Source organism: Homo sapiens, chromosome 22 (assembly GCF_000001405.40).
Source record: "Homo sapiens chromosome 22, GRCh38.p14 Primary Assembly".
Lineage (NCBI taxonomy): Eukaryota > Metazoa > Chordata > Mammalia > Primates > Hominidae > Homo > Homo sapiens.
In genome coordinates, this window is record NC_000022.11 from 19,610,415 (window position 1) to 19,634,817 (window position 24,403).

General features: G+C 50.3%; 1 pseudogene, besides 5 other annotated features; it reads right to left on the reverse strand.

The window, feature by feature from the left end:
• Positions 6,738–7,317: an enhancer, noted in NCBI's record as "H3K4me1 hESC enhancer chr22:19604675-19605254 (GRCh37/hg19 assembly coordinates)". NCBI's record gives its function as "activates a minimal SCP1, AML or CMV promoter by ChIP-STARR-seq in naive H9 embryonic stem cells {active_cell/tissue: H9 hESC(naive)}" and the evidence as "EXISTENCE:reporter gene assay evidence [ECO:0000049][PMID:30033119]".
• Positions 7,318–7,896: an enhancer, noted in NCBI's record as "H3K4me1 hESC enhancer chr22:19605255-19605833 (GRCh37/hg19 assembly coordinates)". NCBI's record gives its function as "activates a minimal SCP1, AML or CMV promoter by ChIP-STARR-seq in naive H9 embryonic stem cells {active_cell/tissue: H9 hESC(naive)}" and the evidence as "EXISTENCE:reporter gene assay evidence [ECO:0000049][PMID:30033119]".
• Positions 9,272–9,566: a silencer, noted in NCBI's record as "tiled region #15144; HepG2 Repressive non-DNase unmatched - State 22:ReprW". NCBI's record gives its function as "represses a minimal TATA promoter and a strong SV40 promoter by Sharpr-MPRA in HepG2 cells {active_cell/tissue: HepG2}" and the evidence as "EXISTENCE:reporter gene assay evidence [ECO:0000049][PMID:27701403]".
• Positions 9,917–10,678: an enhancer, noted in NCBI's record as "H3K4me1 hESC enhancer chr22:19607854-19608615 (GRCh37/hg19 assembly coordinates)". NCBI's record gives its function as "activates a minimal SCP1, AML or CMV promoter by ChIP-STARR-seq in primed H9 embryonic stem cells {active_cell/tissue: H9 hESC(primed)}" and the evidence as "EXISTENCE:reporter gene assay evidence [ECO:0000049][PMID:30033119]".
• Positions 17,088–17,168: a transcriptional cis regulatory region, noted in NCBI's record as "candidate enhancer chr22.250 targeted for multiplex CRISPR interference". NCBI's record gives its function as "positively regulates DGCR2 gene expression with high confidence in K562 cells {active_cell/tissue: K562}" and the evidence as "EXISTENCE:mutant phenotype evidence [ECO:0000015][PMID:30612741]".
• Positions 20,015–21,755, reverse strand: LOC100129254 (chromosome 3 open reading frame 38 pseudogene; annotated as a pseudogene).

The window sequence follows — 24,403 nt, forward strand, 5'->3', positions numbered from 1 at the left end:
TCATGTGCATTGTGGGGGCTGTCACAGCCCTGTGGCTTCTGTGGGGCGGGGGCACAGCGGTGACTGCTGCCCAGGGTAGAGCTTGTGCAGAGGCTGGCTCCCCATGACCTGCCTGCTCCTGAGTAAGTCACTGACTCCCCTGCAGCTCTTAGCAAGCCAAGGGACAGGGCTGCTTGCTCTGCAGATTGGTGAGGTGAGGGACAACCCCCCAGCCTAGCGGCTCTAGTGCTGTGGGAAGGTGCAGTCTGCGGCAGAAGGGCCCAGGGACTTGGCCTGTTAAGGGCCACGCCAGGCTGTTTCCTTCATGTCTCACCTGCAGCACCACCACACCTGCCGCTGGTGGAGCCCCTCCCCCCTCACACCCCCACTTCTGCTCCTTAGCAGGTCTTAGTTCTCATTTTGCATCACAGTGGGCCATGTGGTTTTCCACAAAACAAGAGGGAGAAAGGCAATAATACAGTGGCTTTCGATTTGTTTCGATTTGTAGTAGTAAAGTCTTTCTTTAAATAAAATCTTCCCTGGTAATTGTGTCATGGAAGAAATAAGCAAAGCATCTCTAGTTGAGGCAGCCAGGGTGCCTCCCCGTGCTGGGGCGCCCCCACTCCCAAAGCCCGTATGCCCAGAGGCCCCTCCACTGACCCAGGAATTTGTAAACCCTCGCCTTGGTGTTCAGCAGGAAGCTCACACAGGGGCAGCAACAAGCCCCACCGCCACCCCAATCCCCCCACTACGCCTACATTGAGGCTGCCCTCGAGGTGAGTTCATGCATACAGAAGTCCAAATTTAGACCACACGTTGGGGGTGATACTGCCTGAGGTATGAAGATAGGATTTGTCTGATAGGCAGATGTAAAGGCTGGAAATTACCTGCATGCTAAAAAGCAAAACAGAGATTCCAGGTTCCCATGGTGGAGGGAAGCACAGAATCTAGTAAGACAAACCTCCCAGAAACTCACCGCAGCAACCAAGTTGAAGAGAGGAACAACCACAGGCCTCGAACTTCAGGAGCCCATGGTCAGGGAGAAACAGAAGATTCGGGTGCAGCAGGGCATGGCTCCCAACAGAGGCGTGAGGATGATGTGAGGCTGGGGTCTTAGGGGCTCCAGCTCCCCTGCTAATTTGGAGAGATGGGGGCTAGAGGCAGCCCTAGGAAAGGATGGGAAGGAGCTGCAGCCCCCCAGCACTACGAGTCTCGGTCCTGGGTGGCTGGCGAGCCCTGGGGCACTGTGCTGAGGGCACCGTGGGCCTACACTCGTGGCCAAGCGGCGGCCCCTGGGTGGCCTACACTCGTGGCCAAGCGGCGGCCCCTGGGTGCTCCTCTCTGCTGCCATCACCGCCTTCTGCCTGGCTTTGTGTCCTCTCCCATCCCCTGCTGGGCTCCATCCTGCACAGGCCCTTCCCATGACCCACTCCCCTTCAACCCATGTCTGCTGCTGACCCCCCAGCCTAGCCTGGGGTCCCATCCTTCCTGCTGGCCCTTCTGCCTCCCGTTGCCTCCTCAGCCCACCCTGGTTTCCCAGGCCTGCGACCGGCTTCGGACTCAGCGAGGCTCACATTCAGGAGTAAAGCTGAGGACCTGCACTCAGAGCTGGGCATTTTAAAAATCATCTTTATGAAGTTGATCAGACCAAAAAAAAAAAAAAAAAAGACAAAGAACTTGCTTGCATCACAAACATCCTAGTGTCCACCATCCCTCTTCAGAAATGAGATCTGACAATGCACTCCACATCCCAGAGGCCCCCGAGGTGAGAGTGGCAGTCCTGAATTTGGTGTTAACATTCTTTGCGTGGGTTTGTACTTCTAATGCCTAGGCTTATTCCTCCAAGTGATACAGATCACACTCTGCAGTAGCACAGGAGATATAGAGACCTATTACCTTTATGCATGGATAGATGTAGCTATCTCTCCATCTGTCTCCCTGCCCATGTATGTGTGCATTTCTCTATCCATTCATATATGTATGTATGTATCTATTCCGGTACATATACACCTGTCTATCCATCTAGCCATGTATATATGTATGTGCCTAGCCATCCATCCATGTACATATGTACCTATCTATCCACCTATCCATTCATGTATGTACCTATTCATCCCCCTGTCTATTCATATGTGTGTGTACCTATCTATCTACCTATCCATCCATGTATGTATGTACCTATCTATCCACCTATCCATTTATGTATGTATGTACCTATCTATCCACCTATCTATTCATATGTGTATGTACCTATCCATCCACCTGTCTATTCGTGTGTGTATGTACCTATCCATCCACCTGTCTATTCGTGTATGTACCTATCCATCCACCTGTCTATTCGTGTGTGTATGTACCTATCCATCCACCTGTCTATTCGTGTATGTACCTATCCATCCACCTGTCTATTCGTGTAAGATTGTACCTATCCATCCACCTGTCTATTCGTGTATGTATGTACCTATCCATCCACCTGTCTATTCGTGTATGTATGTACCTATCCATCCACCTGTCTATTCGTGTATGTATGTATCTATCCATCCACCTGTCTATTCGTGTATGTATGTACCTATCTATCCATCCACCTGTCTATTCGTGTATGCACGTACCTATCCATCTGTCGTTCTCTTTCTTCTGCAGCTCCTTTCCTCACCTGCAGTGTGTGAGCCTGCCACGCTAACTGTGACATGTGTCACTCCAGTTCATTCATGAATAGTTGCAGGGTTGCTGGGGCACACAGAGTACCAGGGGAATGCCAGTCCTGGCTGGGCCACAGTGTCCATCCTACTGATGGAGTGTCAGCGGGGTGGGGGTGGGACTCCAGTTTTCTGCAAGTCTAGCACGGCTACTGAACAGTCTCATGCAGGCGCAAGGGGTTCCAGGGCAGGTACTGAGACACGGGCTTGCCAGGTCCCACGGCATGGCTGTCCTTGGCCTCCTGACACCGCCACAGCTCTGGCCAAGGCTGCTCTGCATCACCCCCCACCACAGGCGTGGGAGCCGTCTTTCTGGTTTCTGTGGTCCGTTCTGTTTCCAGTTTGTGAATTACCAGTTCCTGTTTTCCCCCTTTTCAATGGGTTCTTGGCCTTTTCTTAATTAAGTTATTAGATTCTATGAATATTCTGGATTCTAATGCTTAGTTGGCTCTATCCTCTGCAAAGCTTTTCTCCCAGTCTGTGGCTTAAAGTCTTTTCACTCCTTTATTTTGTCTTTTAATATATAGAACGTTTACAGTGGAATGTAGACTAATCCAGCAATCTGCTCTGTGCTTTCAGTGTTTTAATCAAGAAGTTATATTTCATACCAAAGTCATAAAGCCTTCTGCATTTTCTTCTGAAAGTTGTAAGGTTTTATCTTGAGGTCTTTGGAGTAAGGTGTGACATAGAGATTCAGTTCTGTTTTCTTTTTCCACATGGACATGAATCGAGTCCCTTCTCCCTCCTACAGGCTGTAATGCCACGTGGCCATCTGTTACGTGGCCACAGTTTCTTGAGTCTGGTCCTAGACTCTTCTCCGTCCTGGGACTGCTCATCTGTCCTGAGCCGGCACAGCCTTTGGGTATTTCAGCTTTGCGATCCATCTTTATGCCCCACGTTGCCCTTCAGAACACATCTGACTGTTCTCGGCTCTTGGCTTTCCCATCACATGTTTTAGAATCAGCCTGTAATCCCAACACTTTGAGAGGCCAAGACTGGAGGATCACTTGAAGACGAGTTCAAGACCACCCTGGGCAACAAACTGAGACACGGTCTACAAAAAAAGTTTTTTTAATTGTTAAATGTGGGGCCGGGCGCAGTGGCTCACGCCTGTAATCCCAGCAGTTTGGGAGGCCGAGGTGGGTAGATCACCTGAGGTCAGGAGTTCAAGACCAGCCTGGCCAACACGGTGAAACCCCGTCTCTACTAAACATACAAAAATGAGTCGGGCATGATGGCGGGCGCCTGTAGTCCCAGCTACTTGGGAGTCTGAGGCAGGAGAATCGCTTGAACCCGGGAGGCAGAGGTTGCAGTGAGCCAAGATTGCGCCACTGCACTCCAGCCTGGGTGACAGAGTGAGACTCCATCTCAAAATAAATAAATAAATAAAATAAATAGTTAAATGTGCTGCTGTGGTAAAGCACACTTAAAAAAACTGCATTTTACAGTCATTTGTGTTAGTGAGCCTGAATGCTACTGAATTCTGAATATTGCTCTTGGCTCCCACACCCTTCAGAGCTTTCTCTCTGACACTCACTGGGTCATGGTCTGCCACGTGACTCCACCTGCCTCTCTCTTTCCGGCTCCCACAGCCTTCAGCTTTCTGACATTTTACATGGTCCAGGGGCATCCTTGCCATGTTGAAAATAGAGGTGATGGCAGGCATGATACAGCAGAAATGTTAATACAAGAAGAGAGAACTTATTAGCTATGCATGACTCTGTGCTCCAACACTTGAACATTTCATTAAAATAGACAATTTCCTAGGAAAAATTAAATGTTCAAAACCTGGATCTAAAAAAAAAGTAACCTTTCTATTGCCTCTTTGGGTGTTTTTTATAATTATTTTCAGCATATTGGCCCCTTCTTAAGGGGAAATCATGTAGAGTAGAAAAAAAAAAAGCGCACCGGGTCACTGTGATGCCTCCCCAGTTACCACCCGAGTGGCTCCAGCAGACACTCTGGAGACCAGAGCCCGGCCACCAGAGCACCACAGGGGACCGCCACCTGTCAGGGCTTTAAAAATACTGCGTTCCTTTCTCTGTTTCCTTCTACTCTACTTTCACTCTTTTTGAAAGTGAGGTTGGCCTTTTTACCCAAAAACTCTCAAAGTCCTCCCACACACTGTCGTTGGCCACTGTCATTTAGCAGGAGGGAGTGTGTCCAGCCTGGGAAGTGAGCGACTGCAACTCTGTGTTTGCCTAAACACAGTTTCTTGTTGCCGATGCCTGCTCTCTTCTCTTATTTACTCTGTGTACCGAGGGAGGTGGGCAGGCGGTGTGAGTAACCTCTCTGCTCCCGTCGAAGCTGCAGCCCCGTCCTTGTGTGTGTTCACAGACAACATTGGCAGTACCATCATGATGACTGGTGCCACGTCCTGAACAATCGGCCCACGGCTGTCGGGATGCACCTGGGCTTGGGAACTGGTGTCTTGGATGTGGGACACTTCCCAGATCACAACGAGAGCTTCCATGGAGAGGGAGTCCTTCCCAGACTGTCAGATGGCCACCTCAGAGACAGTAGTCTTTGGGATGAATACTTTTGTCAATTTTGTCTGCATTCCTGAAGGAATAGGACATCATTTTGAAGAACTTGGGAGTATTATTTTACCTAAAGCTAGGAAAACAGGAAGGAACTGTGTTGTTATTTTAGATACTGTTCAGATACGATATGAGCATTGAAATGAATAGGGTCATCAGTCGCTGTGGTTTGATTTTATTGTGGTAAAAACACATATTATACAATTTACCATCTTGATTTTTTTTTTGAGACAGAGTCTCACTCTGTCACTCAGGCTGGAGTGCAGTGGCACGATCCCAGCTCACTGCAACCTCTGCCTCCTGGGTTCAAGTGATTCTCCTGCCTCAGCCTTCCAAGCAGATGAGATTACAGACATGCGCCACTATGCCCAGCTAATTTCATTTTTTCTTATTTTTTGTAGAGACAGTGTCTCACTATGTTGCCCAGCGTGGTCTCGAACTCCTGACCTCAAGGGATCCTTCCACCTCAGCCTCCCAAAGTGCTGGCAAAGTGCTGGGATTACAGACATGAGCCACCACTCCCAGGCTTTCACTTATTTTTAGATTGGATTATTTGATTTTGTTGTTGTTGAGTTTTAAAAGTTTTTGTTGTTGTTGTGTGTTGTTGTTTTTTTTTTCTTGAGACAGAGTTTTGCTCTGTCACCCATGAAGGAAATAATGTATACAGTGGTCTATTTCCAAGACAAAGTGCATTGAATTGGCTTAGGTCAGCAAACTACAGAAGAAACAGGATATACCAGGCCCCTGCTTGGATAGCCAATGACTGCTTGTCGGCCTTCCCCTTCCCTCTCTTCTTGCCACGCCCCGCACCCCCACCCTCCCCACCCTTAGTTGCCTTCACCTGAACCAAAGAAATTCAGTCTAAGACGAAAGCTTACTAGTCTTCAAAATAGCTCGCTTTGTCTGTTCTTTTCAGCCTGCCCAGCTACTTAGGTCACAAGTCAAAAACTTGGAGAACCCCTGAGCTAACTAGGATTGCAATGCATTGTGGGCTGCAACAAAATGCAGCAAGATAACTGTAAAAAAAAAAAAAAAAAAACACCTACAGGCCCTACCTAACAATCAGAACAATCAGTAGGCGATGTCCGGGAAGGTTGTAGCCCCATAGTACTCACTTTATGAGGAACTGGGGGAGGGACCTGCACACTAGGGGATACATTGCCTATTGAAACTGTGCTGGCTGTGCCTGCCTATCAGGCAAGATCGTCATTAAAAGTCTCACTTTGGCTGTTCTCTGGGTCTCTGAGTCCATTCTTTGGGTTTGGATGAGTGAGTTTGTTTCTCACATCCAGGCTGGAGTACTGTGGCGCGATCTCAACTCACTGCAATCTCTGCCTCCCGGGTTCAAGCGTTTCTCCAGCTTCAGGCTCCCTGGTAGCTGGGATTACAGGCGCGCACCACCACGCTCAGCTAATTTTTGTATTTTTGGTAGAAATGGGTTTTCACCATGTTGGCCAGGCTGTTCTCGAACTCCTGACCTCAGGTGATCCACCCTCTTCGGCCTTCCAAAGTGCTGGGATTACAGGCGTGAGCCACCGTGCCCAGCCAAGAGTTCTTTCTATGTTGTGGCTGTTGATCCTCGTCAGATGTATGATTTGCCAATATTTTTTCTCATTCTGTCAGTTGCCATTACTCTGTTGACTGAGTCCTCTGATGAGCAGAAGTGTTAAGGTTTGATGTAGTCCCTGCGGTCTGGCTTTTGTTAAAAACGTGTTGGCAGGGGGAGGGAGGGGGTCAGAACCCTGCAGGAGGTTCTATTACTTCTGGTGATGCATTGCTGAGCTGGGGCGTTCTGTGATCAAATTTCACTGGCTTTTCTTGATTTCTTTCCAGCCTGAAACTCAGGTGTGGAGTTTATGAAAGTTCTTCATGCAAAAGTGAGTGTTGTCCCTGAGATTGCTAAAGCCGATGCCCTCACCTGAAGGAAAGGGAGCATAGCGTAGGAACGCTGGTTCCTGGATGTCTTTCTTTGGGGCCTATGTCATGGGGGGCAGAGTCAGGTTCTAATGTTGATTCTAAAAGAGAAGACCCCATTTGAGAGAGTAAGCATTGCTGGTTTGCTAAAAGTAAGAAAAGTTTCTACTCGTTAGAGAGACTGTCTCCTGCGGTTGCCTGGCCGCCCTTTGCACAGCCCGCGAAGGGCACGTGGGAATCCTGCTCCATTCCAGGTCCCGGGCCAGTAGCTCCAGGCCGCGCCAGGGTCGGTGCAGAGCGGCATTTCCCGCCCCCACACACCTTGACAGGCCAGGTAACAAGAGAGGCCTTTCTAGAAAGTCCCTGGAAAAGGCTCTTTCCTCCCAAACCGGCAGATTATGCTTTGTATGTCTGTTGTGGCAAGAACCTTTTCTTGTTTTCTTTCTCAAAGTGACAAATTGATGGCAGGGCAGATAAATCGTATTTTCTTTCCTTCTTTCTTTCTTTCTTTCTTTCTTTCTCTCTCTCTTTCTTTTTTTTTCTTGGTGACAGGGCAGATAAATCATATTTTCTTTCTTTCTCTTTCTTTTTTATTTTTCTTTTTGAGATGGAGTCTCGCTCTGTCACCCAGGCTGGAGTGCAGTGGCACGATCCTGGCTCACTGCATCCTCCGCCTCCTGGGTTCAAGCGATTCTCCTGCCTCAGCCTCCTGAGTAGCTGGGATTACAGGCATGCACCACCACGCCCAGCTAATTTTTGTATTTTTAGTAGAGATGGGGTTTCACCATGTTGGGCAGGATGGTCTTGAACTCCTGACCTCAGGTGATCCACCCACCTCAGCCTCCCAAAGTGCTGGGATTACAGGCATGAGCCACCATGCCCAGCCTTTTTTTCTTTTCTTTTCTTAATAGACAGGGTCTCACTTTCAGTCACTCAGGCTGGGGTGCAGAGTTTCAATCCTAGCTCACTGCAGCTTTGACCTCCTAGGCTCAGCTGATCCTCCTGCCTCAGCCTCCCAAAGTGCTGGGATGACAGGTGTGAGCCATTGTTCCCAGCTAAATAGTGCTTTTTCTTCTCTCTAACATTGAAATATAGAAAGTATGAAAAAGCCACTCATGGTCAAGCGGCATGTCCCTGCAGAGCTGTCAGCCACACTGCCTCCCAGAATCCAGGTTGGGGGTTTCCGATGCTGTCTGTTCCATGTGACCTCACAGCCTCCTGAACCAACTGATGGCCCCAAATGTTTATCCCCATTCCAGATGGCACCTGGTGGTACCTGAAAGTGACCTCTGGGCTGCGAGGTGCGTGGTAATGTCCCTGTGGCCCATCTCTAGATCGTGAAGAGGGTGATGTGAATCATAGCACACTCCAGGACATCACAGGGCCCCAGCACAATTGTGTATGCTGTGACTCCGTCACCCAACTACTTCGAGTCTTCAAAGACATTGAATTGCCATTGTTCTAATACTTATTTGCCTTTGGTTCCCACTCCTTCCTCCCCGTGGTGGGAAGAAAGTTGGGGAATGTGCACCCAGAAGATGTCGGGGCTGGATCAAGCCCCTTTTCAGTCACTGTCATTCATAGTTGAGATGTGAACTCTGCAAAGGCAGTGAGTACAGAACATTCTTGTTTCCAGTGCAAATCCACTGTGACCAGGAAGCTGTGCCTAGGTCTCTGACTCCAGCCACCCATACCTCCTCTCCCTGTACCCAGAGCCCTGGATGAAAGCATGAGTCTGGGATGCTGGGAAGAGGGCAGACAATGACAGCTCCCAGGCGCTGTGGACCAGGCAGGCTCTGTGTTGGGCTTTCCTGGCAGACGATGCTGTAGTTAGTTAATCCTCTCGAGGACATGTGAGATGAGGGTATCATTACCTTAGAGATGGAGGATCTGAGCCTCCAGCAGATAAGCAGCTGCCCCGCTGCAGAGAACTGAAAATGAAGCTAAGCTTGTTGGCTTTTCCCCACCAGCTGCCTCCCACTTCCTCCACCTGCTCTGTCTCTGCAGAAAACATCAAGAATGCAAATCCAGCCCCTTGGCCAGCTCATTTGCACACACACTCACCTCAGGGGTCTCTGGGGGTGTCTTGGATGCAGACCTCCATCCCTCACACCCTCACACCTGTCCGTCCAAGGGTCAGGCCATGCTGGAGTGCCTGGGCTGGCCTGATGGAGATGCTGCACCAGCTGAGTCATGGCGGGAAAACAGCCGGGAATCACCCAATATCTATTCCTTCCTTCCTTTCCATTTTCTTTTACAACAGCAAAATGATGCCAAGATTTTTCTGTGCTTCCCCTGTTATAGGCTGATTTATGGCCTCCCTCCCAAGTTCCTATGTTGAACTCCTAACCACCCAGTCCCAACCCCATATGGCTGTATTTGGATAGATCTTTTTCTTTCTTTCTTTTTTGAGACGGAGTCTTGCTCTGTTGACCAGGCTGGAGTGCAGTGGTGCAATCTTAGCTCACTGCAACCTCTGCCACCTGGGTTCAAGAGATTCTTGTGCCTCAGCCTCCTAAGTAGCTGGGACTACAGGTGCGCACCACCACGCCTGGCTAATTTTTTGTATTTTTAGTAGAGACGGGATTTCACCAGGCTGGTCTTGAACTCCTGACCTCAAGTGATCTACCTGCCTCGGCCTCCCAAAGTGTTGGGATTACAGGCCTGAGCCACTGCACCTGGCTGAGAGAGGGTCTTTAAACAGGTAATTCATTCAAAATGAGGTCATGAGGGTGGGCCCTACTCTTGTATGACTGGTGTCCTATAAGAAAAGGAGACTAGGGCCTAGCAAGGTGGCTCCCAACAGTTTGGGAGGCCAAAGCAGGAGGATTGCTCAAGCCCAGATGTTCGAGACCAGCCTGAGCAACATGGTGAGACCCCCATCTCTACAAAAAATTTTAAAAATTAGCCAGGCATGGTGAGGTGCACCCGTAGTCCCAGCTACTTGGGAGCCTGGGAGGCTGAGGCAAGAGGATCGCTTGAGCACTAGGAATGTGGGGCTTCGGTGAGCCATGATTGTGCCACTGCACTCCAATCTGGGCAACACAGCAAGATCCTGTCTCTAAAACTAAATAAAGAAAGAAAAAGGAGAGGAGATTAGGACACAGGTATGCCCAGAGGGATGACCCTCTGAGGGCATGGCGAGAAGACGGCCATCGACAAGCCCGGGAGAAGGTCCCCGGAAGACATAACCCTGCCCACGCCTTGATCCCAGACTTCCGGCCCGCAGAATATAAGACAATAAAGGTCTGCGGTGAGGCCACCAGCCAGTGGCACTTTGTGATGGCAGCCCCGGGAGGCCAAAACAGCTGCCTGTTCCCCACGTCCCTCTCCCAGCAGAAGCGCATGGGCTGCTCTTGAGCCCCAGCTGCAGTCCATCACTGTCAGTGCTAATGCGAAGCTCCCCTAAGACTGACTTGACAATATTGGCGAGTGGGCTTGACCCACCAGCCTGCATCCGGTGCCGGTGAATGGGCACTTACGTTCCTTATTGAAACGCTACTTGTGGCCCTCTGCTTCCCGGAGCTCCTGGCAACAGCCCAACTTTATGTTCCAAATAGGAAAAGGCTGCTTGATTTAAAGACTCGGACTTCATTAGGCGTTACCTTGATTTATGGAAAAATAATACTGAATGGTTGCATAACAATGGCCCACTGCTCACCTACGTGTGGCCTGGGGTTAATAAAACCGGCACATTTGTCTCTCCCACGATGACGTCAACGTGTACCAGCCCTTCTCTTCCACATGGGAAACGTGTTATGTTGTTCCAATTGTACATTCACTTGGTGAAGGGTTGTGTTAAGTGATTCCAAAAATTGACTGTGTATATTTTCTCTAGGGAAGTTATTGTATATTATTTTAGCTGGGAACATCTCTCGCACACAATTACTAATCAGAAGTGAAAATCAGGATTTGTCCCCGGCCCACCTGGCGGATCTGATGCAGCGCCAGGGCAGCCCGTGAAGACGGGCGCTCTTCCTCCGTGACTCTGGGCCAGGCAGAAGGAGCCTTGGAGAGGCTGCAGGAGGAAGCCCGGCTTGAGGCCATTCCTGTTTTGTCTTGCTGGAATTCAAAGATATTTGTTAATCCTTTCCCCCCACTTGAGTTGAGAAGGCCTGGAATGAGGTTTCACAAGCTGTGCCCTGTAGAGCTCCTGGGGAAACTGGCTCGAAAGAATGACTTCTCGAGAGGGAAACTAATATTTGCTTATTTTCCCCCCACTAACTTCCCAAGGGAAGGCTAATCTTTAGAAACACAGAAACTTTGGAGGCCAATAAAATTGAGAGCAAGAGAAGCGAGATTGTTTCATTGTTGCCACCATGAAGGAGAGTTTGTTTTTACTGGATTTCTTTTTCCCTTCAGGAAGGCTCTGGTAAGAGTCCTGATAGATTATTCTCGCACCCCTGGTTCTGGCTTTCCCCCCATTGTTTCAATTGCCCTTTTAATCACCACGATCTCAGTCAAGGTCAAGGCTGCTGTTTCATGTACCCGTGCCCCGCCTGCCCTCCTCTGCCGCGGATTCCCATGGGGATGTGTGTGGCTGCATGACCACCCTTCCGTGTCACCAATCACACCGAGCAGCCCTGAAGCCAGCGTGGGGTGTCGGCAGGGTGGTGGCACTCGGCATTTCCCAGCCTCTTCTTGGATGCCTGGGGTCCTCTCTGCAGGGTTTGGTGAGGCCCTGCTGGGGTGAGAGCCCTTGGCAGCCCCAACTGTGTCTGATCACAGGCGAAGCATTTATGAGGCAGCTGGGTCCCATAACAGAAACAGGGAAACCAGAGGCAGAAGTGACATTACGAAGTGGCTTACGGCGCTGCTAAGTCAGGGTTGGGGTAGCAAAGCGTCATATAGGGAACTGAAATGCTTTTCAGCGCACAATAGCAGTGAACTGGATGGGAATCTTCGGGCCGAGAGAAGTCCAGGCAGAGGCGTTAAAAAGTTTAGGCAAGGAAAAGGAGTGAAGGGCTGGACCTGGTGGGGTGGGGTCCCATTCCCAGGAGAGTCGGCCCTGCCCCAGCAGCTTCCAGCTGGAGCCTTCAAGGACCTGGAGGGGGCAGGACCAACCCCTCCACCCTCCCTGCCCTTCACCCTCAAGTTCACCTGCAGGGCTGTCTTCTTGCTTACTAAGGCCTGGGAGAGTTTAATTCCAAAGCAGAGGATGATGACTGGAGAAACGGATGCCTGGTTGAGTCACTTCTGGGGGCTCAGCATTGGAATCCCTCTGTAACCTCCCAGAAGCAGAAGTGGTGGCGTCCAAGGCTGCCCAGGCCCCTCCAGTGATGAGGAGCCCAGACCCTACAACACGCCTTTGCCCCCTGCACACCCTTCCTGCTGACAGCCCCATCCCATGCTCCTCCCCATCTGACCCGTGTGTGTGTGTGTGTGTGTGTGTGTGTGTGTGTGTGTGTGTGTGCGCCCCCCACCCCCGCAGACCTCCCGAGACAGCTCTGGCAGCCCCACCTGCCAGGGGTCAAGTGCAATTCCTCTGGAAGTAGCATCTTTCACATGGAAACGTTCCTTTATTTTCAGTAGTTATGGTCGTCAGCGAGCCCTCTTAAAGGAGTCAGGTGTCCTGCTTTTGTTAAAATGACGTTGTCTCCTAACTCTTAGAGAAGAGGAAAAATGTCTCTGCCCAGCTGGCATGCTGGGGCACAGACCACTGAAGCCAAGGCTTTGGACTCGGGGGTTCTGGAGGCTGGAGGAAGGGAGAAGGGGATGCAGCGCAGCGTGTTGTGTGTGCATAGTGCTCCAGGGACTCCAGAGGAGAAAGGAGTCCCTGGGGAAGAGACATGGGTCTGCCTCTTATCCTAAGTGCTTTCTGGTGCTCCAGGGAGAAGTGTTTCTTGTCTGAGATGTGGCAGACATTTAGAATCATTGCTCAGAACTGTCTCATCTTAAACCTTTTAACCAGAAAGTACAGAACCATTGCTCCAGGGGAAATACAAGCTTGTGAGAGCTTCTGTTTGCAACATTTCATTCACTAATCCATACATAACCTTGTTGTGTGTCTGTTTCTGTTGAAAGACACTTTAATATATATTATTGCTTCTTTAATGTATTCACCACCAGCAACACCATAACTCTTGCCTGAACGCAGCTCATCTAACACACATATTTTCCGCATACAGTTCATTGCAGCCTTTTTTTTTTTTGAGATGGAGTCTCGCTTTGTTGCCAAGCTGGAGTGTAGTGGCGGGTTCAAGCGGTTCTCCTGCCTCAGCCTCCCGAGCAGCTGGGATGACAGGTGCCTGCCACCACGCCCGGCTAATTTTTGTATTTTTAGGAGAGACAGGGTTTCACCATGTCGGCCAGGATGGTCTCAAACTCTTAACCTCATGATCCACCCGCCTCAGCCTCCCAAAGTGCTGGGATTACAGGCGTAAGCCACCACACTCGGCCTTTTTTTTTTTTTTTTAAGAGATGGGGATCTTGTTCTGTCACTCAGGTTGGAGGGCAGTGGCATGATCACAGGTCACTGCAGCCTTGACCTCCTGGGCTCAAGTGATTGCCCACCTCAGCCTCCCAAGTAGCTGGGACCACAGGCACACGCCACCACATCCGGCTCATCACAGCCTGTTTGTGCTTAGGAACACTAGACAGCCCTCAAGGTCTTTACCTATAAAGTAGAGATGTCAGAGATGTCAGAGGCACTTGAACCAGAGCAACTCCATCTTGAATAGGGGCTAGGTAAAATAAGGCTGAGACTTACTGGGCTGCATTCTCAGACAGTCTTTTTTTTTTTTTTTTTTTTTTTTTTTGAGACGGAGTCTCACTCGGTTTCCCAGGCTGGGGTGTAATGGCGTGATCTTGGCTCACTGCAACTACCACCACCCAGGTTCAAGCAATTCTCCTACCTTAGCCTCCTGAGTAGCTGGGACTACAGGTGTGCATGACCACGCCTGGCTAAGTTTTGTATTTTTAGTAGAGACGGGGTTTCGCCATGTTGGCCAGGCTGGTCTCGAACTCCTGGCCTCAGGTAATCCACCCACCGTGGCCTCCGAAAGTACTGGGATTACAGGTGTGAGCCACCACTCCTGGCCCCTCCGGTTAGGCATTCTAAGTCACAGGATGAGATAGGAGGTTGCTGCAAGATACAGGTCATAAAGACCTTGCAGATTAAAACAGGTTGCAGTAAAGAAGCAGGCTAAAAAGCCATCAAAACCAAGATGGTGATGAGAATGACCTCTGGTCATTCTCACTGCTACACTCTCAAACTGTCAACAATTTGACAATTTACAAATGCCATGGCAATGTCAGGAAGTTACTCTGTATGGTCTAAAAAAGGGAGGCATGAATAACCCACCCCTTGTTTAGCATATAATCAAGAAGAAACCATAAAAATAAGCAACCGAGGCCGGGCATGGTGGCTCACGTCTGTAATCCCACCACTTTGGGAGGCCGAGGCGGGCGGATCACAAGGTCAGGAGATCAAGACCATCCTGGCCAACATGGTGAAACCCAACTCTACTAAAATGCAGAAAAAATTAGTTGGGTATGGTGGTGCGCACCTGTAGTCCCAGCTACTCCGGAGGCTGAGGTAGGGGAATTGCTTGAACCCGGGAGGTGGAGGTTGCAGTGAGCTGAGATCGTGCCACTGCACTCCAGCCTGGCAACAGAGCGAGACTCCGTCTCAAATTAAAAAAAAACAAAAAACAAAAAAAAAAGCAACCAGCATCCCTCAGGGCTGCTCTGACCATGGAGCAGCCATTCTTTATTCCTTCACTTTCTTAATAAACTTGCTTTCACTTTACTCTATGGACTCGCCCCTAATTCTTTCTTCCTCGAGATCCAAGAACCCTCTCTTGGGATCTGAATTGGGACCACTTTCCGGGAACAGAGACAGCAGGGCAATGGCCAGAGGCCACATGAGACAGTCAGTAGTGTATGGAGGCGGCAGCAGGTGCCCAGAGGCATCCCCGGCCCACCCCCAGAGCCTGGCCTGACATCCAGGCCTCGCAGGCTTCAGGCCAGGACCCTACCAGCAACCCCCCACCCCCGAGCACCCCAGGTGTGTATGGGTGGGTGGGGCCTCCCGTCAGCCCACCCAGGGGCCTGTCACACCCCTGCTGCACACAGCCTCTGCACTCTGGACTGCATGCTGGAGCCCGTGGGCATCAGAGCCACGGGCTGGGCTTGGCAGGATGCACCTCCCAGCAACGGTGTGCTCACTTCTCCTGTCCTCCCCTGGCTCTGATGACACTGTGAGGCAGCAAACCAGGGTCCTGAAGGGACCTCTAAAGATACAGTGTGTGCAGGGACCCTGCCCAGGGTGAGAGCAGCTGGAGCTCTTGCCGTGATCATCTCAGGCTGCCCAGGTGAAGGTGTTTCCCCAACAGCCCTGGCCACAGAGGAGGCCAGGCCTCTTCCCTGCCCACCAGTCTCATGGCCCTCCAGCCTTCCCTCCCGCCACCTGGGCCAGGGCCAAGAGTCTTGGAGGGAGGTTCTTATTGCTACCAGGTGACCCCTGCTCCTGGCTGGCATGGAGCAAAGTCACCCTTGCTATCAATTTAACACAGATGAAAGATCATGCTTGTTCCCATTCCCACCACCTGGACATCCTCCTCTCCTGGACCCTACAGCCTGCGTGGGGGGTGCATTTGCAGGAATGGACCTTGCCTCCCTGGAGTACCTCTTGGCTTACAGCCCCATCCTCCCTGGGGTCTGCTATCCTACTGACCTGAGCGTGCACACTGCTGATCTCCTGACCCACTGTTTAGGAAAATCACTCCTTTCCAAGCCTCCTGTTTCCTTGCAAATGCTCTAGAGCAGGGGTCCCCAACCCCTGGGGTCACAGGAATGGGCCACACAGTAGGAGGTAAGGCGCAGGCAAGCAAATGAAGCTTCATCTGTAACAGCTGCTCACTGCTTGAATTACCCCCTGAACTCTGCCTCCCATCAGATCAGCAGCGGCATTATATTCCCATAGGAGCACAAACCCTATTGTGAACTGTGCATGTGGGGGATCCAGGCTGTGTGCTCACGAGAATCGAATGCCTGCTGATCTGTCACTGTCTCCCATCGCCCCCAGATGGGACCATCTAGTTGCAGGAAAACAAGCCCAGGGCTCCCACTGATGCTACATTATGGTGAATTGTATAGTTATTTCATTATATATTACAATGTAATAACGATGTCATAATGAGAATATAATAATAACAGAAGTAAAGTGCACAATAAAAATGTAATGCACTTGAATCATCACAAAACCACCACTCCACCCTCGGTCTGTGGAAAAATTGTGTTCCACAAAACCAGTCCCTGGTGCCAAAAGGCTGGGGACCGCTGCTCTAAGGCATAGCAGTCTTTAACCTTTTGGGGCACCATGGAGACTTGCATAGCCTGATGAGCTCTGTGGACCCCTTAGAACTGCTGATGTGTGTCGCTTACATTCAGAGATGGAGAAAATGCTAAACCTTAGTGAAAATAAAGATGCTTTTTCTCCCATCCAAGCTCCTGAGTGCCCTGAATGCCACCCATGGGGACCTTGGGGAAGCCCTAGGACAGGGATGTAGGTACAGATTGACAGTCCAGAGCTGCCATCAGGGAGAAGCATTTGCAAAGCACAGGCTCTGCAAATGGGGTCTACTTCCTCCATCCCCCAAGCCTGTCTTCTGCTTCACTTTGCCAAGACTCTGCCTTGCCCCAGTGTTGGAGCAGGATGCCAGATGGCAAGATGGGCTTATGGGCTGGGTCTTCTGTTTGGTCGCGGCAGAGCCCATGGCAGCTGTAGGAACTTTGACGGGGAAGGGGCAGGGGCGGGAGCAAACCTGTAGCGTGAAAGTATGTGAACGCTCTGTCATGGAGGGCACCCCAGGCCGTGTCCAGGCCAGCTTCACCCTGTCTCTGGGAGAAGGAAGCCTGGTCAGAGCTGAGGAGGCTCCAGGGCACCAGGCCTTGTCCCTCTTGCGCCTGGGCGTGATGCTCCCCAATGGCGTGCGCCAGTCCTGGGACCATTGCTGCCGGCCGTGTGTCTTCTTCCAGGGTGCAGAATCCCTTGTCAAGCTGGGTGGTTTGATGCCAGCCCCTGGGCCTCGAAGCTCCCTTCCTGATGGAGTGCTGCCATTTGGAAGGGGTAACTTTCGTGGTCATTTTTTTAAATCATGGTAAAATATACATAACTACATAACATAAAATTTACCATTCTTCCTTTTCTTTTCTTTTCTTTTCAGACGGAGTCTCGCTCTTTCGCCCAGGCGGGACTGCAGTGGCGTTCTCTCGGCTCACTGCAAGCTCCGCCTCCCGTGTTCACGCCATTCTCCTGCGTCAGCCTCCCGAGCAGGGGACTATAGGCGCCCGCCACCGCGCCTGGCTAATTTTTTGTATTTTTAGTAGAGACGGGGTTTCATTGTGTTAGCCAAAATGGTCTTGATCTCCTGACCTATTGATCCGCCCGCCTCGGCCTCCCAAAGTGCTGGGATTACAGGCGTGAGCCACCGCACCCGGCCAAAATTTACCATTCTTTCTAACCATTTTAAAGTGTACAGTTCTGTGGTATTAAGTACATTAACACTGTTGTACAACCAGCACCACTGCCCATTTCCAGAAGGTCTTCATCTTCCTAAACTGTAATTCTGTGCCCATTAAACTCCCCATGTCTTCTTCTCCCAGCCCCTGGCAACCACGATTCTACTTTCTGTCTCTGGGAATTTGACGACTCTTATAATTGGAGTCATGCAACTTTTGTGTCTGGTTGGTTTTACTCAGCAGAATGTCGTTTCATCCATATTGTGGCCTGTGTCAGAAGTTCCTTCCTGTCAAAGGCGGAATGATACTCCATGGCAGGTTTACACCACATTTTGTTTTTCCACTCATCCGTGGAGAGACACTGGGTGGGTCCCTCCTTTTGGCTGTTGAGAATGATGCTGCTGTGAATGAAGTGGTTAGAAGGGGGCTTTCAGACGTGTGAAAGGTGTCTTTGGGAATTTTAATTTCAGCTCCCACAAATGAGTAAAATTTGTCTTTCTGTGCCTGGCTTATTTCACTTAACATAATGATCTCCAATTCCATCCATGCTGTTGCAAATGATAGGATCTCACTCTTTTTTCATGGCTTCGTAGTACTCCACGGTGTATTTGTACCACATTGGCTTCACCCATTCGTCTGTTGATGTTCGACACCTTATTATTATCGACTGTAGTCACCCTGCTGTGTAATAGATCTCTTTTCTTTTTTATTGATATTTCAGAATTGTGCATATTTTGGGGCACATATGATATTTTGATACATGTATATAATCTATAATGTTCTAATCAGGGTCGTTGGGTTATTCATCTCCTCAAACATTTGTTTTTTCTTTGTGTTGGGAACATTCCAATTCTAGTTATTTTGAAATATACAGTCCGGGCGTGGTGGCTCATGCCTGTAATCCCAGCACTTTGGGAGACTGAGACAGGTGGATCACCTGAGATCAGGAGTTCGAGACCAGCTTAGCCAACATGGTGAAACCCCGTCTCTACTAAAAAATACAAAAAATTAGCTGGGCGCAGTGGCAGGCACCTGTAATCCCAGCTACTCAGGAGGCTAAGGCAGGAGAATCTCTTGAACCTGGGAGACGGAGGTTGCAGTGAGCTGAGATTGTGCCACTGCACTCCAGCCTGGGCAACAGAGTGAGACTCCGTCTCAAAACAAAACAAAACAACCCCAGAAATACACAATTCATTATCGTTAACTATAACTTTCCTACTCTACTTTCAAATACTAGAACTTATTCCTTCTACCTATATTTTTTAATCCCTGGTGATCTCTTTTCTTATGGGAGCAGTGTGCGCCCTGATGGTGTAAGGTGGAAACCCGCCCCTTGTTGGAACCAGGATTGAATATCACCGCACAGGAGCTGAAGGTTCCCACCCGGCAACGTCCCCCCTTGGCTGTGAAGCAGAGAGCCCAGGGCTGCTCGTTTCCAGTAGTCCTCCTGGCAGAGCACCGCTGAGGAGGGTGGTGAGGGGAGGAGAAGATGCATTCTGCAGGGAGAAGCATCATAGTGGGGGCCGGGGACTCTCCTGCGTCTCCTAATTGCCCGACTGTCATGTGACCGATCAGTGCACTCCGAGCATTACACAGAGCAGTCATCCAAAGAGAGGCAGCGCCTCACAGCCCTTGGCTGGAGAGGAGAATGGAGGCTGGAGGCTCCAGAAATTTGGGATGGGAGGAGAAAAGGAAACAGAGGTGCCCCTTCCCCTGTCTTATTGCAGGGAATCAGTAAAACGACTACTGGAGTTCACTGGCTTCTCTGAATCTTTGTAGAATTTCTCCTGCACCTCTGATCCCATCCAGCTGCAGACACAGTGCCTGTTCAGCAGGGTGTGTGTGCAGACCACGGACTCACAGACGGGGACCCTGGGGACCCCAGGTTCTCTCCCCTCACTGAGGACAAGAGAGGGGCCCCCACCCCATGTTAATGATGCGGGGCCTGCAGGGACCTTAAGTTGCATTAGCATGGCATGGAACAAGAGAGAAAATTCAGAACCTCCAGCTTGTGATATGCAACAACCAAAAATGTGGCTGAGTGTGGCCGCCTTGCAAAGGCCTGGGCCCTCTTTAATGGGTGCTTGCTGCCCTCTAGTGGAGAGATGAGGACGGGGGGTGGGCGAGCTTGCTCAAGGACACTCACTGGGGAAGGGCGGTTTGCAGACAGGTGTCGTGTTTTGGTATATATGTGTGTATGTGTGTTATGTGTTAGGTGCTGCGAGCATATGAAATGAATTACAACGTTGTTATGGGCTGTACTGTGTTCCCCCAAATTCACTTGTTGAAGTCCTAAGCCCTGCTCCCTTAGAATGTGGCTGTATTTGGAGACAGGGTCTGTAAAGACCTGAATGAATTAAAATGAGGTCATTAGTGTGGGCCCTGATCCCGTATGACGGGTCTTCTTCTTCTTCTTCTTTTTTTCTATAACATCTAAAGTGAGATTTATTTGTGTTAAGCTTTCAGAACATTTCAGAACATTTGCTGCGACTCAGGTAAAAATAGGTAAGTATTCACAGAATATGTTAAGTCTAGAGTTCAGAAAGTTATTTCAACTAAAATAGGTCAATCCTCACATCTGAAATCACTTAGACATTACTGATGTATTTGGAAGTGTTTCTGTATAGATATTTTAGGCTGACGGTGCTCAGTGCTTTAGGGGGTCAGGTAAACCCAGTTCTCGTTTGTTCAGCGGTGCCTCATTTCCACTACATAAAGCTTGTTCTCCAGTTCCACCACCAATGCCTACTTTACGTGATGTTGCACTGTGTTGGTGCCATGTAAGGTGATTATATTATGAAAGGCCTCTAGACCACCTTGTTCAAATGTAACAGCTGGTTTCAGTAATTCCAGGAGCAAGGGAACTGTCTCCAACAATTCTCAGGTTGATAAATTTGATTTTCCAAGTATTCTCCACAAAAGGGCAGCAGGTGAGCCCAAAACTTTGTTCAAAAATGCCCAAGCAAGTGTTCCCTCGATGTCCCAGCAGTTCCCAGCAGTTCCAACCATCACCAGCCCATGAAGAGAAGAAGTACATTTCTACATTGGGCTGAGAAAAAGAAATTCTTCTTTTACTAGTGACGGCAAACGGAGACTCATGATTTCTGTCCCATGGTAGTCCATCCCTTTTTTTTTTTTTTTTTTGACGGAGTCTCGCTCTGTTGCCCAGGCTGGAGTGCAGTGGCATGATCTCGGCTCACTGCAAGCTCCACCTCCCGGGTTCACGCCATTCTCCTGCCTTAGCCTTCCCAGTAGGGGACTATAGGTGCCCACCACCACGCCCGGCTAATTGTTTGTATTTTTAGTAGAGACGGTGTTTCATTGCGTTAGCCAAGATGGTGTTGATCTCCTGACCTCGTGATCCGCCCGCCTCGGCCTCCCAAAGTGCTGGGATTACAGGCGTGAGTCACCGCGCCTGACCTCTTTTTTTTTTTTTTTTGAGACAGAGTCTTGCTTGGTTGTCCAGGCTGGAGTGCAGTGGCGTGATCTCGGGGCACTGCAGCCTCTGCCTCCCAGGTTCAAGTGATTCCCTGACTCAGCCTTCCGAGTAGTTGGGACCACAGGCATGTGCCACCACACCTGGCTAATTTTTGTATTTTTAGCAGAGATGGGGTTTCACCATGTTGGCCAGGCTGGTCTCAAACTCCTGACCTCAAGTGATCCACCCACCTCAGCCTCCCAAAGTGCTGGTGTGAGCCACCACACCCAGCCAGTCTATCACGTTTTGTTCTGACTTGTTGTAATAGAATCTAAGCTGAGTCTATCACGTTTTGTTCTGACTTGTTGTAATAGAATCTAAGCTGGACATCATGCTGTGGTTCCCATTCATCTTGAGGTGGTCCCAGGAAAGAATTGTGAGAATTAAGAAGTCCAAAGACCCGGTGACAGAATTCTCCCAGGCAATGAAAATCAACCTTTTCAGCTTTTTAATCTTTTGCCTGCTGTCGAAAGAGCTGGATGTCCTCTGTCTTTGTAACTGGCTCTGGTGTTTCCTTCAATTTTGGCTGTGATTGCTTTTATACGCTAAATAAGACTGTGTTTTTTAGTAACTGGAGGTATAACAACCACCCCCTGGTGTTGCCAAGTACTTAAATGTGACCAGAAAGGTGGACGTTTTTACGCCTCAGAAGTTCTGCCCTTGGACTGTCCACTAACATTACATGAAAGGTGCTCCAAATCCTCAAATCAGCAAGTGCTGCCCATGACATGGATAATCCCGGAAGCTGCGCCATTGTCACTGCCACCACCTCCTGGCGGGCCCAGCTGCCTAAGCCTGTGTAGTGGTTCCGAAACGGGAAAGGTTCCTTTGTCCGCCTTGCAGGGTGTGGGATGGGGGTGTGGCTCGTTTCTTCTGTGTCCTGCTTCTCCCACCGCTAGAGGGGGCATACAGATGGGCAGGTTGTGGGGCTCAGGCCCCACAGCAGGGTCTAGAGATGAATGTTTACAGCTGAAGCCCCAGTTGGCGTATGCTACTGTTTGTTCTTTTAGTTTTGCTGTCTATAGGCGGCTTGTGTTAACCAGCTCAATTAGACCCTCTACTTGTCGCGTGGACAGAGGGCTTTCTGTATCCCGGGTTCTTGCCTTGGTGTACCGGAAGAGTCGGATCACACATGAGCTTGGATAATGGGTGCAAGGTTTTATTGAGTGGAAGTAGCTCTCAGCAGATGGGGGAACCAGAAGACAGATGGTTTTCCCCTGGAGTGGGGCAGCTGGGTGGCCCAGACACTCTTCCGACTCCCGGCCAAACTCCACGTCATTCCGCGATCAGTGGCATGCCTGTGCCTGTGGGCGCATTCCTCTCGCCAGCCGGCCACTTGTGGATTCCTCCGCCAGTGTGCTCCTCTCCACGTCCAGCCGCTCCTGTCTCTGCCTTGCTAGGGTCTGGGTTTTTATAGGCGCCCGATGGGGCGTGGCAGCAAGAGCGGTCTTGGAAAATGTAAGGCAGGAAATGCCTGTCCTCACTTAGGTCCGTGGGGGTGGAGCCTTAGTAAGAAACGGTCTTTGCTTTGGGAGGCCAAAGTGGGAGGATCACTTGAGCCCAGGAGTTTGAGACTAGCCTGGACAACACAATAAGATCCTGTTTCTACCAAAAAAATTAACCAGGTGTGGTGTTGTGTACCTGTAGTCACAGCTACTGAGAAGGCTGAGGTAGCAGGGTCAGAAAACGCCCTCCTATACCCGCACTTCCCTTGGCACTTCCCTTACCCCCTTCCGTATCATTTAAAGGGACCATGCTTCTCCCTTCTCAGCATTTCCGTATCAGTTTCAGAGCAGTGGATCTGCCATGGTGGCAGGGATTCCCCAGGATTCTGCCTAAGCGGGGTCTGAGACTAACTGGGTTCTAGGCCCCGAACCCCCTCCACTCCCAGGCTCCAGTGACCTGGGGTCAGCATGAGGCTTGGGAAGGAGTGGCTGTGTTCCATGGCACAGGTCTGCCCTTACATTGGTGGTCTTTGGGCTGCACCAGGCAATTGGTGACGGTGCTGCACAGGGCCATGAATCTCCTCATTGTCCAGTAGCCCAAGTAGGTTACGACAGCCCTCCGTCTCTGGAGAGCTGAGTCCTGACATCTCGACCCCCGGGACAGAGGGAGAGGACGATGGCAATAATGTTGCCCCTGTGGCCCACCAGGCCCGCACCTTGGCAACACACACCAGAAGTCATGGCAAGTGTTCTTATAAGAAGAAGAGATTAGGCCTATAATCCCAGTGCTTTGGGAGGCCAAAATGGGAGGATCGCTTGAGCCCAGGAGTTTGAGACTAGCCTGAACAGCAGAGTGAGATCCCATTTCTACCAAAAAAAAGTTAGCCAGGTGTGGTCTTGTATATCTGTAGTCACAGCTACTCAGAAGGCTGAGGTAGCAGGGTCACTTGAGCCCAGGAATTCAAGACCAGCCTGGGCAATATAGCAAGACCCTGTCTCTACAAAAAATTCAAAAATTAGCCTGGGACTATGCCTGTAGTCCCAGCTACTTGGGAGGCAGAGGTGGGAGGATCATTTGAGCCCTGCAGTGAGCTACGATCATGCGACTGTGCTGCAGCCTGGATGACAGAGCAAAACCCTGTCTCAAAGAAGGAGAAGAAGAGATTAGGACCCAGACAGGCACAGAGGAAAAGGAAAGACCCCGTGAGAACGCAGGGAGAGAACGGCCATTGACAAGCCAGGGAGAGAGGCCTGAGAAGGACCAACCCTTCCAGCCTCCAGGACTGCAAGGAGTAGGTGTCTGTTGTTTAAGGCGCCCAGCCTGTGGTACTTCATCATGGCAGCCCCAGCAGACTAACACACACGGATTCTGTCCTTCAGGAGCCAGTATTTGTAGATAAATCATGACTGAATGGCAGTGGTGAGCAAAACTTAATGGCCCTTGCCAGCTTCCAAACGCCCAGCGCTTTCTGCGTGCACCCTCAGGCAGTGGCATCGGGCACACAACCATTCCTAGCTCAGGAAACCAAGGGGAAGAGGTTCCGCTGCAGGCCCGGGAGCCCAGCCGATCCCAAAGACTAAAGACCTAAGCCCCGGGCTTCCCAGAGGAGGGGCACAGCCTTTTGAAAGCAAGAGGAACTTCTGACAAGGTGAGCAGGGTGAGGAAGTTATTGATTTTGATTTTGATTTCCCCTGAATTCTCTATAAAAATAGAGGGGGCAACCAGAACCCAGGTAGTGAAACCAAAGCCCATGTTGGAATTTACAACCTAGTGAGGGGAGGCCGCGGCCTCGGGGCGAATCCATGAGGGGTTGGCATGTGTGGTGGGGGGAGTGCTGGGGGAGACTGGGGGACATGGCAGCGGGATGGGGAGGGGAAGATAACACCAAG